The sequence below is a fragment of the Homo sapiens genome, chromosome 1, assembly GCF_000001405.40.
Source record: "Homo sapiens chromosome 1, GRCh38.p14 Primary Assembly".
Classification (NCBI taxonomy): Eukaryota; Metazoa; Chordata; class Mammalia; order Primates; family Hominidae; genus Homo; species Homo sapiens.
The window spans coordinates 162,699,424-162,715,068 of record NC_000001.11 but is presented as its reverse complement, the minus strand read 5'-3'; the positions used below and the strand labels follow the sequence as shown (position 1 = coordinate 162,715,068).

At 41.9% G+C, this 15,645-nt stretch overlaps 1 protein-coding gene across 8 annotated transcripts in view, besides 1 other annotated feature; it reads right to left on the bottom strand.

Annotated features, from left to right (window-relative positions):
- Positions 1-15,645, bottom strand: part of DDR2 (discoidin domain receptor tyrosine kinase 2) — a 156,543-nt gene that overhangs the window by 72,337 nt on the left and 68,561 nt on the right. For 2 of the 8 annotated variants that reach the window (XM_011509587.3, NM_001014796.3), the window contains exon 3: positions 9,938-10,017. The exons of the other annotated variants lie outside the window; for them this stretch is intronic. The gene's annotated coding sequence lies outside the window, so the exon portion shown is untranslated. The remainder of the gene's footprint in view (positions 1-9,937; positions 10,018-15,645) is intronic. 8 annotated transcript variants of the gene reach the window in all.
- Positions 1,996-2,290: a silencer, noted in NCBI's record as "tiled region #4859; HepG2 Repressive non-DNase unmatched - State 7:EnhWF". NCBI's record gives its function as "represses a minimal TATA promoter and a strong SV40 promoter by Sharpr-MPRA in HepG2 cells {active_cell/tissue: HepG2}" and the evidence as "EXISTENCE:reporter gene assay evidence [ECO:0000049][PMID:27701403]".

Here is a 15,645-nt window from a genome sequence, read left to right as displayed (position 1 = left end):
TGCACCTTCGAATGAGTCTTTCCAAGGGTTCAATATTTAAACAATGTGACATGTGAACAGAACTCAAAAGTATACATGGAAGCATGTCAAGGAGCTGCTAGGAAAGCCCTTCTCTACCCACTTATTTAGTTAGTAGTACAAACCCCTTTGACAATTTATTTAAGCCTCAAGAAATAAAACTCAAAATGCAAACACCCCTGGTCAAGCCATTGGCCTTCATTCATTCATTCAGCAACTATTTTGTAAATATCTATTAGGTGCTATTACAGGTGATAAGCACATCAGTAAAAAAGGCAAAGAAGGTTCCTGCCAACATGGAACTTATAGTACATAAGAAAACAAGTAAATGAAGAAGAATTTTAAAGAAACATATGTACAGGGAAGAAAATAAAATAGAGTAATGTAACAGAAAGGGAATGAGAGCTGTTCTAGGTAAGGTGGCCAGCAAAGGCCTCTCTGAGTATGCAATTGGTATAGAAATAGATAAGCAGAACACTGAAGAGAATGAACAACCCAGAAAAGACTCATGAATAAATGGAAATGTACTACATGAGAAGGTGGGTATTTAAACTTGGTGAAGAAGTTTCAGATGCTTTAGTAGCCTTTTCAAAAGCAAATGAAGGTATATCTACACCTCACAAAAATGAGCCCAAAATGTAAAGATGGAACCATAAGAATATTTCAAGGAAAATCTAGAAAAATTTGCTATGAGCTAAAGATAAGGAAGGCCTGCACAAATGAGACATGGAAAGCAAAATCCAGAAATGAAAAGAATAATAAAAATTTCCACCAAAATTCAAAACTTCTTTAAGACCAAAAGACATCATAAACATAACATGTAAACAACTGGCTAAGATAAATATTTGAAATTGTATAATGAAATAACTTCTAGTATTAATAATCTCTATAAATCATTTTTTAAAAGCCACTAGAAAAATGGGCCAAGTAAATAAAAAGCATTCAACAGGGGAGACAATATAATGCTGTAAACATCTAAAAGTATTCAACCTCTCAAGTAGTCACAAAGACAAACATTAAAGCAGTAGTTGAATGCCAATTTTACCTATCAGACTGGCAAAATTTTAAAGTGTGATAATATAAACTTTGGCAATAATATGGCAAATGCATACTCTCATACTCTGCTGCTGGATATATAAATTAGAAGATAATTTCAATAAAAATACATATACCATAATTTCTATATCCCATTTATTCTTATTTACCCTAAAGAAAGACTTGTGTGTGTACACAATGAGGCATGCACAAAAAAGTGCTTTGCAATATATTTTTTAACAACAAAAACTTAGAAAAATGTCTACCAGTAGGATAATGTTATTAACTATAGAATATTCCTACTGTGAAATGCTATGCAATAGTAACAATGAATGCATTAGAGCTACTCACAGTTACAACGGTTGAAGTCTATGACATGTTTTTAGGTGAACAAGAAGGTTGCAAAGTTTATGTAAAGCACACTATATATTTTTATGATAGACACACACTCATGTACATTTATATATATATAAGATCTGGAAGATTAAACACCATGCTGACAGCAGTGGTTCCCTCCAAGACAGAGTTAGGAGATGGACTGCTGTATTTGTCAGAGGAGATTGTGAATGGTGATCAAAGGGAGACTTTAGCCTTATTTGTAATGTTTTGATTTTCAACAAGGAAAATGTGTTCCTTGTTAATGTCATTTATATTAGCTTTTCTGACAAAACCAAACAAAACATTTTTCCTGGAAGCAGGCTATCAGAATCTCAAGGACACTTTCTGTGCATTTCCGAGAGTTGGAGGTGTGGGGGGAACACGTCCTATACTTCAAGAATCACTTGTTGTATTGGGAAATGTCTTAGCACATCTTGCACATGAATAGAGTGGAAGAAGAAAACAGTTGAGAATTACTGCCTGTTTCTATTTTAGAATTCCTGAACTTTATCAGTTACTTATAGATGCATTACATCATTGAGCCTCACCACAATCCTGTGGAGAGAAATTATCATCTCCTTTTGACAATAGAAAAGTACGGCCCTAAGTCACTTCACCCTCAATTGAGGCTGTTTTACCTGGTCTGGCTGGTGCTTCCCATTCATTGTGCTGAATTAGAGTTGGCTTCTTTACCTGACTTTCTCTCAAGCCTGACCATGAGTCATTGAAGGTCAAGGATCTTGCATATCTCTATCTCGAAATGAGATTAATTTTGACTTGCTTGGGTCACTAAGTTAGAAGACCACAGAGTAAGAACTGGATCCCAGTTCGCCTGACTCCAAGGTCAGTGTTTCTAGGACCACAGCCCAATATTTACCAAAGAACATCAAGGAGCATGTGGCTCAGAGAGAATATGTCCTTTGTAGTAAAGAACCCACTTCCCTCTTCACAGTCAAAATCCTCTTCCCTAGCCAAGCTGGATGGACATTCCAAATTGATTTCAAAGGAAGTCATGGCTCAGGACTTCCCAGATCTGACAAAAGACCACCAGCTCTCCATCTCAGGACTGCCCCCACTGGGATCTGGACAGGCCATGTGTCAAAGCCACCAGGAAACCAGGAAGTAAAATGGAAGATCAGGCAGACAGGAGTGTGGCAGCCACAACTAGAAATTAGCAGCTCTCCAGGAAAGAAAAAAGCAAGAGTCTGAGAGGTTAAATGTCTCACAAATTATCTCTGTACTTGGGTGAGCTTCTAAAAGCCTTTTTCTGAGACACATTCAGGGCCAAATCATGGTGAAAGGGTAAGTTATCTGAACATTCTGCCTGACACAGTTCCAGTCCATGTAGGGTTCTTATAGGCAGGGTTTGCTCCTACCTATAAGAACTTCAATGAATATGTGGCTCATGGATGAGCCAGGAATATGTGGGCATCCTAGATCAGCTCTTGGTTGTACACACATGACACCATATTTCTCTTTTCCAACTGCCTTAGCAATCAGATCATTTCCCAAAACAAGCTTCACACTAGTGCTCAGATAGGATGGTATGGGGACACAGCTAGGAACCTTGGGAGATAAGTGCTGAAATGATTTTTGACCTGCCAAGTGAGAAAGAGTGAGCAGGAAGTTAAGTTCTCCTCTTGCCTGGTTTATACCCCTGGTGATCTCAGAGCAAGCCCCAGCACTCTGGACTGGTGGAAACAGCAGCCCTTCAGTGGTTCAAAACACAAGCCCTACTGCAATGTCTTTGCTTTAGATCTAAATACACATGATAGATTATATATGTATATACGTACATGTGTGCATGTGTGTGTATAAACATATGTGCATGTGTGTGTATATATGTATGTGTGTGTATATATATATAAATATATATTCAAATGATATAGATATGAAGAGAAACACCTTTGAAATGTAGCTATAATAGTGAACTACATTTCTTTGGAAAAATACCTCCATCATTTCCACCCCAGTGATAATATGGAAAGTAAGAAGAGCAGGCAACTCCTGGATCTTTTGCTCCAACAAAATGGAAAGTTTGAGTACCTCCATTCTTCCTAAGCCCCTCAGGAGTGACCATAACTCAAATATGGTAGAACTCTTTTTTCTCCAAGTCTGATCATTGCAAAAAACAACTTTTTCTCTGAAGCAGAACTAGGGGTATATCCCACTTTAAGAAATGCCTAAAGTTACCAAACTCATAAATCATGAAATGTTTATCTACACTACAGAATAGTTCTTCGCAAAAGGATTCAATGCCGGGTAACTTTGAATAAAAAATCCCACACAGTACATTTAAAATAACATTCAGTATATAAAAATATTCCATCTACTTACCAAACTCATAAATCACTAGATGAGTAGCCATTACAAAGTAATTCATCCCTTGACAAAAGAATCCAGTGCTGGGTTCCTTTGAATAGCAAATCTTTTCAGTACATTCAAAATTGATGCAACATACCAAGATCCAGTTTATACCCAACTTTTCAGGAATACAGCTTGTGTAAAAAGCAAGACATGTCTGATTTGGTAGACAGCCATTCTCTCCACGGAGTCCATTTTTCCAGATCCAAAAGCTAGGGACTATCTGAGGTGGCCTCGACTTTGCTGAAGAATGAAAATTCAGATTTCCCCCAGGGATCTTGACACTGAGCCTGTGATCTGGACTGGAGAGGAAGTGCTGGCCCTCCAGGAAAATCATCTGTGGCCTGTAGCCCAGGCCAGGCCTCTCCACCTAAGCTCAAATGCACCTCCCCTGCAGGAAAGGTAGGACCCTGGAAAGGCTGGAGTATGAAGGGGAAAAGAGATAAAGGGACTGAGGTCAAGTTGGGGCAGGCAAATACAATGTTTGTGTGTGTGTGTGTGTGTGTGTGCATGACTGTGTGTGGCACTTGCATTTGTGTGTGTTGAAGATTAAGATTTGGTGGGGAGAAGAACACCCCCATGATTTAGGGCTATGTATTTTAATTCAGGGGCCATTCAGGGCATTTAAATCTTGTTTTTCCTCTCTGCTGAGTCATTTTCATTTCAGATTAAACAAATATGAAGAGCAGTTTTGGAGTATTTCATATTAAGCAAACAAATATGCAGAAATGAGCTTGGTTTTGGCAAGAGATGGGCCCTCAAACACATACACAGAAACAAACAGCAGAGCTGTCCCAAACATTCTCATCTCATGTTCTGTTTCTATTCCTGAGGATTTGTTGAAGTTTTCCTAACTCTCAACTTTCCTCTGGGAGTCCCAACCTCGTGATTCTCAAAATGCAGCCCCTCAGTGTGGAGCCAAAGGCCCAGAATGACCCCTTCCGTAAGTATCTGGGCACATAGGATGTGCCCCAGGTGACCTGAGGTGACCCACACTGGATGAAATAGCAAGCTCCACTTCTGCCTTTGTTATAAGACTACTTTGCTCCCCTCCATCTCAGCCTTTCCTTCTGTAAAATGAGATGCTAGAGTTTGTAGGAGAGGTGAGGGGGGAAAGTGCTAGATGGCTATCTTATTCTCTCACTCCTTTCTAAGAAGACAAGAAGATGTTGAGTCACATGACTATTATAGAAAACATCCCTCTTCCAGGGGCAGAATGGAGTCACAGAACATTGACTGCATTACTTCATTCACCTAGTTTCCTGTCTGTACTGTACACACTGGAAATGTCAAATCTAACGTCTTCATTTGATTACTGGGAGGAAGAAGGAGAGAAAATGCAAACTGAAGGCAGAGCATTTTCCAGATACAAAACAGTATTTTAGAAGTGTTATCATCCAGTATCCCTCAGTCTGCTAAGACCCTGGACAAGTTATTCAACCTTGGTGAGCCCTAGCAATCTCTAGCTTTTCATTTGGATCTTTTACTCTCACCTCTGACTTGCTGGAAACTTTTCTGCATGTGAGTATCTTTCCCAACCAGCTCCTCTCATTTTCTTTCCCACCGTACCTTCTGTCCCAGGCTCCGCAGCCCTTGGAAGCATGTGCTGGTGAGCAGAAGGTCATCTTTCCACATTACTGGGCACAAGAGGGTCAGCCTGAGGGACTGTGGTCAGAGGCTTTTGGAAGCAACCAAGGAAACATGCCAGCCCTCAAAATCATAGAACCATACGGTAAAAACCTGAAGGGACCTGAAAGCTCATCTTTCTCAATTCTCTCCAATTGGAGGTGATAAAAATAAGGCAGCCCAAAAAGCAAAGTGACCTCCCCAGGGGCAGCAGCTGCTCACAGGCAAGGCCAGGCCCCTGGTATTCCAGCCTAGCACTTGTTCTCTTATCACGCTATCCCTATTAGCCCAACTTCCTGTTTTTCCTTCCTAAAACTCTGAGCCACCCATACCTTCTTTAGGCCCTGTCTGTCTCTGATAACTGGTTTCTTTAAACCAGATTGAAGTTACTTCCCTCCACCCTCTGAGCCCCTGCACTCAATGTTCTGCCTCCTACCTCCCTTGCTGCTCCTTATGAGTCACCTTGTCTGAGACCAGGCTTGCTGGGTTTGAGTCCTGTCTCCCACCTCTCACCAGTGTCATGCACCTGGGCACACACTTGAACCTTGGCACCTCTGTCTTCTCACCTGTAAAAATGGGAGTAATAATGGCACCTGCCCACAGGAATGTTGTAAGGATGAAATGAGTTAACATGTAAGAAGTGTCTAGAACCTAGTACCTGTCTCATAAATGTTACCATTTATTTGTATTTCTCTTTGGTTTTCACTGTGCCTGGCATCATGTTCTCAATAAATTTGCAAGTTAGGGGCAAAAAGCATGCCACCCCTAGCCATACTCTTATTTCTGTATCCATTAACACCTATATAGTAAGTACTCAGTAAGTACTCAGAGAATATGTGTAGGTTGGTTGGCAGGTATTTACATGATAGTAAAATAGGCAAGAACAACAATACAAACTTCCTGCCTTTGACCAGGACATTTCATTTGGTCCATCCTGTGAGTGATGCTGCCTCTGGGGAAAGTGCCTTGGGCTTCAGCAGTCATGAAAGACCCAAGCAGTTTCCTATGAACCAGCAGAGCAGAAATCAGCCTGGGCTGAGGAGAACTGAGTGGCAGCCACTTCTGTGGGGGCAGTGATGTGATTACGCTGCTTGATCAATACCGTGAGTGAGAGTGCTCATACCTCAAGAACCTTCCAGTTCAGCCACTCAAAGCCACAAGGCCCAGGAGCTTGTTTTGATTGTGCCATTTCCACCAGGACCATCCTACTCTTGCGGTTATGGCTGTGCTGCCTCTTGAGAGCACATGGCTCTGAAGGGCTGCTTACTTTTAGTGCAGGCCCAATCAACATGGCCTGAAGCATCACTGAGACATCAATCAATTCTATCTCATCTAGCTATAGGAACCCCTCCTGAACCCAGAAGAGATCATGTGTGATGCCAATAGACCCTCCTTCCTGATCCCTGCAGGAGACCCTCCTTGGAGAGAAACTTGGGCTCAACTTCCCAGACACCAGGCAGGGTCTGTCTGCCCTTTTGGCAGAGCAATCTTAGTGTCTTTCCCTTAACATACTCAAGACTCAGGAGATCAAGGCCTACCCTGGTGTTTTTACCACAAAGAGACAGAGACCTCTCACCTTCTCTGAAACCATCAGAGACAGAAAGGATTTCTCCTCCCAGGCCTTTGCAACCATATCCTGTAGTGATAACTTCAGAAATGTCATGAGTGAGGAACTTCTAAAACAGCCAGGTACTAACTAGTCTGTGGGTTTAGGGACACTTTTCTATCAGTGTAGAAAGTATAAGCTGGTTAAAAGTAGAAAATGGTATCACTATTAAAATTAAATGGAATAATGCATATAAAGAACTTACAGTACCATTCCTGGGATATAGTAAGTGCTTATAAATATCAATTTTTGAATAGCGGTATGAATAGAATGGTGTATAGGAAGAAAAAGATCAGCAGTCGAGGTGGCAATCGTATGTTTAGCATCTATTGTGAGCCCAGGACTGGCTGAATCACCTGGGGCAACACAACAACAACAAAAAGTCAGTCTTTTTTTCTTGCCAGGAGGAGATTTACATGACTAGCGCCTGTGAGCATTTGGAAAAACCAACAAGACAATGAGCAAGCAGCTTCATGCCAGGCCATGGCTGCAGGGTTGGTGCAATAGATTAGAAGATGTATAAGTGGACCTGGATGAATAACAGACTTTAGGAAAGACCATGAAGAAAAAATACAAAACAAGCAATCATGAAAAATTGCAGTCTCAACATCCAGCTGTTGAAAGAGGCAAAGGCTCAGGAAGACCTTCAATTGTGAGAGGGAGAAAGAAAGCAAGAGTTGAATTCAGAACAGACTGGTTTGTTCTCCATCCTCACCAATCCCTGACAGCTGTAGACCTCATAGGGACTTAGAAGGCCTTGTAAGGCTCAATTGCCTTAGGAAAAAGAAGCAGGATGGAGACACAGAGCAGTGGCTCTAAACTTAATCTACCCCTTTTTTTCTGATGTTAGGCATGGTAGAACAAAGCAGATTGGCCCAGGGACATACAGACACTAAGATTGAAGGCTCTCTAGCCCCATACCTAGGAAGAATATGGCCCAGGAGTTCCTGCCTGAATCCCAGAGCCTGAAAGCCTCATTCAGCAGTTGGATTAGCACCAAGTGTCTGGGATTCTTTTCCTGGTCCCTACCCCTTCCTCCAAACAAGTCAGTCCCTCAGCACCTACAGTTTCTGCAATCCTTGCCAAGATAATAAAGTCATTGATCAAGAGAAGTTCAGCTTCTAACCCTTTCCATTTCATGCTTCCTTCACATTGCTGGCCGGACATTCTCTTCTGTGTTACTTTAACTTGCAGCCTCTGAACCAAGCAGTGCAGAAAATATGTTTGTTCCAGGCGATTAAACACCTATAGGCTCCATCTCCACTCAGGAAGCTTCCCCTTGAGTCACCAGCATCTGGTACCTACTCTTGATAAGTAAAGAGCCCTCCTCTCTATCCTACCAGGCCCGCTCCTCTCCACTTTCTGGCCCAGGTTAAAAATACCACATTGCCAGGGCCAAGTGTGACACCAAGGGCTTGCCCCATGCTGGCCTCAGAGGCTTCTCAATCTCATTCTCAGAATGCCCTTGCTTGGGTCTAACCTCCCAGCAACTCCACCTCTCCTGCAGAAGACTCACATTTACCAGCCCCTTTGCACAAGAGCTTATGGCTTGTGAGTTGCCCCTTTTCACCAGGTAAATGTATGCTTTCCTTCAAACTCTTGCTCCTATCTGACTTGCCTACCCACCTGTGGGCTCAGACGATGCTTTGAGGATATGAACACATATGAATGTAGAATTTTTCAGTGGTAGTATCTTTATGCATGTCTGTCTCCCTGGCTAGGCTTGAGGAAAGGGTCTTGTCATGGTCTTCCTTACATTCTTATGCAGAGCACAGAGTTGGGAGATAATCAGTGAATGTGCTGGGTAGATGAGTGGATGGCCTGAGGGCTCTGCAGTGTCCAGGAATGGCTGCTGACCTGTTCATCTCACTGCCAGGAGTTGAAAAGATGTCATACACAGATGTCATACACATTATGCTCTTATCTTCACCATGGCACTTCTTCTAGGCCACAATAATCTGTCTCCTCTCTTGCGTGATCCACTGCACCTATTCCCCAAAACTTAGCAGATAACCATTTAGTGACTTAAATTGCTCCTTAATTGTGTTAGTGTGTATGTGTGAAATTTTTATCTCCTCCTCAAGACTGTAAGTCCCTGAAGGGCAAGAATATTTTGCATGTCTCAGGGCTTATGAGAGCACTGATAAACGTTTATGGAGCACTTATTATGTATCAGGCAGTGTGCTAAGATTTACATGAATTTTCCTCATTTGGTTCAGGGCCTCAGAAGGATCTTGAACAAGTGAAGAGAACAGAAGCAGAAACTTAGCCAGATGACAGTAAGCTGGCCTCTGGGCCTGAGTTCTAGTCCCAGATCTGCCACTCATCACCCCAGGGCCTAAGCAATCGTCCCATACCCAGAATGGGCTCAGCTCCCTCTTCATTCCAACAACGAGGCTGGAATGAATGAAAATGGAGGAGTTCCAAGGCCCCTGTCAGCCCTGGCACTGTAAATCTACCAGCCGTGGTTCTAAACACTCCAGCGGGTGTACCACAACAGAATAGAGTTGCCCCCTGATCCAGAAGGAATGCTGCTCCCCCTTTAGCCCAGGCACATACTGTATTACAGTAATGAGAGCTTCGGCTGCTTTAAATATCACAAAACAAAAACAACGGGCAGCCCGAGTTCATCATCCCCATCCAGACCACAGAGGAGCACACCGCCAGGCTGAGGCCAGAGCGACATGGTGAGAGAAGCCCACACAGTCGCTTTCAGGGATCCATTGGCTCGTAGCTGGAATGAAAATCACCAATGGCAGGGGCTGTTAAGACGCAGTCAGGGGGACAGCCCACAAGGTCACACTGGGACAAAGAGGCCCTGGCTGTAGTGAGATTGGATATCTGGAATCCTGGATCCACCAGAGATGAGCTGGTGCCAAGCCTGAGGCTACAGGAACCACGGTCTCTCACCTCTGGGAGAGCCAGGAGAGTCCAGCCAAAGGTCTCCACAGAAATGAGGCTACAGTCTCCCTCTGGGTCCTGGGAGGCATCTGCAAAGCAGAACAGCAAACATTAATCAGAAGGGCCGGAGTGGGTGAGCATGCGAAAAGCACAGGAGCCAGGTCCTTTTTCTCTCAATGATTCTCCCAAAAGCAAAAGGGCAAATCTTCAGGGGATTCTGGCAGGCCCCGCATGGAAAACCCCTTGAAGCAAGAGCTATGCTGTTGAGAGTCCTTAGTAAACCCCCGTTATGTAAAATGGCCCAGGACTATTCAGAAGCCTTATCAGATAGTGCTATAGACTGGATGTGTGTGTTCCCCCAAAATTCCTATATTGAAATTCTAACCCTCAATGTGATAGTATTAGGAAGTAGGGCCTTTGAGAAGTGATTAGGTCATGAGGGTGGCACCCTCTTTCAGGGTCCTTTTAAAAGAGACCCCGCAGAGATGCCTCACTGCTTCTACCATGTGAGGACACAGTGAGAACATGCCATCCATAAACCAGGCAGTGGGCCCTAACCAGACCCTGAATCTGCCAGCACCTTGATCTTGGACGTCCTAGCCTCCAGGACAATGAGAAATAAATTTCTGTTGTTTATAAGGTAACTGGACTATCTTTTTTTTATTATAGTATCCAAATGGGGTAGAGTAGATAGTTATTTGATGTTGGTATGTGTCAAATCAGGGTGAAGAGCATGAACATGAAGCAACTCCACACATGGACAATGAATAAGGTTCATGCACACTCTCTTCCTGCAGAAGTGGCTTTGCTGCCCCTTTACAACTCTCAGGCTGTTAGACTCCATTGCTCCAAGGCATTTTCTGGTGATTGGGGAATGGAACAGGCATTTATCTCAGCAAGGCAGGGATTAGGGGCAGGGAGATGCTTTATCTATATCCCATCTACCCCATAATAAATGGTACCTCTGCCAGAATAGAAAATCGATAAAAGATTTGCCAATATCTTTTGTTTGATAGCAAAGACACATGGGCAACTCTTTCCTAAGCTGTAGGTTCCTTGCAGGATAAGGCTTCTCAATAACTGTGTGAGCCAGGGCTTTAAAAGGGAGGCTGAAGGTCTAAAGTCAAATGAAGGATGCCACCACCTCTGCCAAGATTCTACTCAGCATTAACTGCAGGAATGTGCAGATCTGTCTCCTCTCTTGTGTGCAATAGGAGCCAATGGCGTATGATGTCATCAATCCCATGGGGATCCCGGCATGCGCACAAAGTATCAAACTCATTTTGGGAAGACAGACACACTCTGGAAAGGCTGGGGTTGGGTGGAGGGGGAGAAGCTATGGGGAAAAATCCATTAGACGTGAAAACCAGGAACTGGAATAACTACATAAGGGGAGCTTATGTGACTTCAGCACCTCCTTTTGTGAGGTTCCTAGCACACTGCTTGGCCTGCCCTTGAAGGTGAAGATAGTATCTCTCTTTATCTCTAACACCTAACACAGTGCCTTCCACAGACAGGTGATCAAGAAATATTCATGAATTCACCTATAGTAGGTGCTCAATAAATTTTGTTCCCTTTTTAACATTCTTAATCTCTTCTACCTCAGGAACTTAAGCCAATTGGAGGTTTGTGTCCTATTTGCCACACAGGGCTGGCACTAAATGGACAACAGTGCTCTGGCACACACCCTCTTCTCATCTTCCATCTATCCTCTCTTCCTCCCTCACACTCACCCCTCTTCTGATGAGAACAATAGCATAATAGCAGGCTCTTCATTACCTTCCCTTCTCTGAACTCCTCATTGATGTTGATAACATTCTCTTGAACTGGAAACTAATTTTTTCCATATGATTCAGTCTTATCTCTATTTTTATCTCATTTTCACAATGCCAAATATAATACGTTTATCTCATTATAAACTCACTGATATCAGGAACTAGGCTATACGTTCTGTATAGGCATCGTGGCACATAGCACAATGCCTTATATACTTCTGAACAAACTGCATATACTCTCTATCCCAAGCTATGACTTTCCTAGTTATATTTTATGCTTTATCACTCAATCTAGTCTTCTTCCTTTACACATGTTCCCAACTTCCAAAAGGAAAGGATGGCTTGAAATATTCATTAACCAGCATTTATTGAGAACTTATTACATATCAGAAAATATGCTAGGTGATAAAGAAGAAAAAATGTATATACACACACACAGAGAGAGAGAGAGAGTATAAAAGACCAGAAATGCCACAGTTTAAGTCACTTTCTCTATTGAAGCCAAGGGAGTTAGCTAGCTGAGTGGCTTATCGGAAACAGCATCTGACCAGCTGCTGAACTAATGGTGTAATCTTGGATGAGCCAAATATTCTCCCTGAGCCTCTGTTTCTTAGTCCTTCATAATGTGAGGAAGACATGTCCTCTCTAACATTATGATCCTTCTGGACAACGAGCAGTACCAAAGCTTATGTAATTAGATCCTATGGTAGACAATAAATATACTGTAGCTATTGGCATAAAGATTGAGAATCATGAGGTTGAAATAGGGTGACATTTAAACTGCATGTAACACCAATTACATTTAGGTTCACATCAACAGACTACATACTCAAAGACTCTAGCAGTAACAGACATTCGATGAATGACCTATACTCAGAGTCGCACACATGAATCTAGTTGGGTAGGGAATATCTATTCAAAACCAAGAGCCAACAATAGGAGATGATACATTGTTGGTATTCTTGTTTTTTCTGAAGTCACTGCTTGCATGGGACCTAAGTATAAGCTGCTTGCATAGTCAGTATAAGATGGAGGAGAAGGTAAAAGATACCTTTTCTCCAGCTGATGGGAGAATTCAAAAATTTTCTAAGGAGAATGAAAGAAATAATCCAAGAAGGAAGACAGAGTGACAATAATTGCAACGAACAAAGATGAAAAATATGATTCAGAACTTTATGCACAACAACGCCACGTGAGGAGGAAGCTGGGAAGAAAAATAAGACAAAGAGGAGAAAAAGGAGAATCCCAAACTGTACAACTAAAACTAATAAAAAGAACTAGACTCTTCTCAGAGAAGGTAAATTGGGCTTTGTGACTAGAAAGCTGTATCTCCAGGATGCAAAGTTTCAAGGAGCTTAATACAGCTCCAGTGGGAAGAGAAAAGTGGTGATGAGTGACTCCCTACCAAGAAAACAAGGGGATTTACTGAAAGACCTTCGAATGTTTCATGCAGAAAAAAGAAAACTACACTGGGACTTAATGTTGGTCTTCAAATATGTGATGCCCTATTCTGAAATAAAAGGATTCAGCTCATACAACAGAACTCCAGTCATGACTAAGGAAGTTACAGAGAGGCAGATTTTCATCAAAAATAAGAGGGAACACCCTAAAAATTAGAGCCATCCAAAAACAGGCTGTGCTTCTTTGTGAGGTTATGAGCTCCCCACTACTGGAAATATTCAAGTAGAGGCTGACTAATCATCTTACTTGTGAGGCTGTAGGGAGGATCCTTCTTCATGTAGGATATTGGTTTAGATAACTTTTTAGATCACTTTCAGTTTTAATAATCTATGTGTCTGTTCACCAGAGTGCAAAAGCAGGTTAACTTGACATCAGCCTGACACAAAGCAAATGGATACTCATGAGCTGAAAGAGCTACTTTATTCATACTGATACAGAGTCAAAGCCTTACCTAGCAATAGTTTATGGCCAAGAGCCATATGGCTTGTAAGCCTATGAACACTCCCACATGACCATATCACCTACACACGTAAATACCAGAGCTGATCATTGTTACCTTCCATTTACTGCAAATGCCATCTGGCCCAGATACTGTGGCAAAACTAGGATATCAGGCTATCCTCTACTACAGCTGAACTGTTTAAACCAACTTTGAGCTTCAGAAGTCAGGTCTGGAAGACAAAATTAATCACTTTTCCAAGGGAGTTGGGTCAACCTATTTAATACCACTTAATAGTTGTAAAGAATGATTCTATCTACTACGGTCAGCTATAAAAAGTGTTTTAACCTACAAACATATATTAGTAAATTACCGCTGCTTTTTTTTTTTTTCAGTTCTTCTTCCCATACCCAGATCTCCCCAAGTCCTAAATTATTTATCAGGGTTTTGAATGCCATTGAAATATATACCAACACTGCTCAATGTTTCTCCTGAGCACTGCTGAATGTGGTAAAGTTTCATTTCACCACAACACATGTAGAAGACAGAATGCAAAAAAGAAAACACCGGTTTAATCACACAGCACATAGTTTCCTTTTCTGTCTCAACCAGTAGCTATAAGCGGTTTTAAGACATGAACTATGCCATTCTCGTAGAGCCCTGTAAGTAATTAATGACTTTGAGTAACACCTCATAGAGGCATCTTCTCAGTAATACCTCTTCCAAAGTCTTGCTGTGACCCCAAATCCCAATAGTAGAGTAAGAGATTCTCATTGCTTCCAAAATTTTGGTTACAATGTATGCTTTAACATGTGTAGTAAAAGGATGACCCAGCCCCAGCATGCTCATGTTTCTATGCAAATACCTCCTCTTGTGTAGAGGTCTGCAAGTACATCAGATTTCCAAGGCTGAAATCATGTGCTAAAAATGCTGAAGGCTCAGCACTCTCCATACTATGCTGGAGTTTCAAGGTCTTAGCTGCCTGAGAATAAAATATTCCCCCAAGTGTGAATCTTCAATATGGCATGCAAATGAGTTGCATGATGTCCTTGACCTAGCTCCCTGAAAAGGGATGTGGCATACAAAACTGAGTGTCTGGGTCATAGTCATGGGGTCCACAATAGCCCAATAGACATTGCACTCACAAGGCCCTGAGCCTGGGTAGGATCCAAGGCTGATAAGGAGCACATTTACCCAAATAGCAAAAGATGGTGTTGCCAGTAGAAGCCAGGATATTGTCGCCAAACATCAGGTGAGGGGTGGGAAAGTCATATGGTTAGAATCCTGCAATATTGAAAAGAAGAAATGGTGAGAGATAGGATCATGGTCACTGTAAATGTGCTAGACATCCACCTCTGTGTGGTCCATTGCAGTTTAAAGAAGCTCTCTCATGAGTAACTACCTTTGTTTGAAAATAGAGTTGCAGATGCTTTGTTTGAAAACAGAGTTGCAGATGCTTATGATTATAGTTAGGGCATGCATGGGAAATCCATTTCCTAACAAATTGAGCTACATATCAACTTAGGAAGAGGTGACAATAGAAGCTAATTAGGAGGAAAAGATCTTTCTGAGTGTTATCTAAACTATTTATTTGTGAATCCAAAAATCTCAGTGTTTATGTCTAAGAATTTTACTGTAGAACTTTGCATCTTATTTTTATATCTGTGTGTTTTAAAACTAAAACTGAATTTTCACTTGGATAAAATTGATGGCATATTCGGAAATAATAGACTAAGTCTTACAGAAAGGAGATAAAAGTGAGATTAAGAGAAGCTGAATTCATCGAAGATATTCTATATTTTGCTTTTATTTTTTCATGTTTTGAAGACAACAAACAAGAAGCAGAGAATGGCATAACTGTATCCAACCACCTGCTGGACAGTGTGTAGAAACCATATTGCACAACCACATTTAGCCTCGAGCTGTCCTCCAACAACACTCCATACTCTTCAAAACCAATGTTCATGACACTCAGCAATCTCAAACTGGAACAACTGCTACAGTCCATTTTTCACAGAAATTTGGGTTCACAGTACAAGACA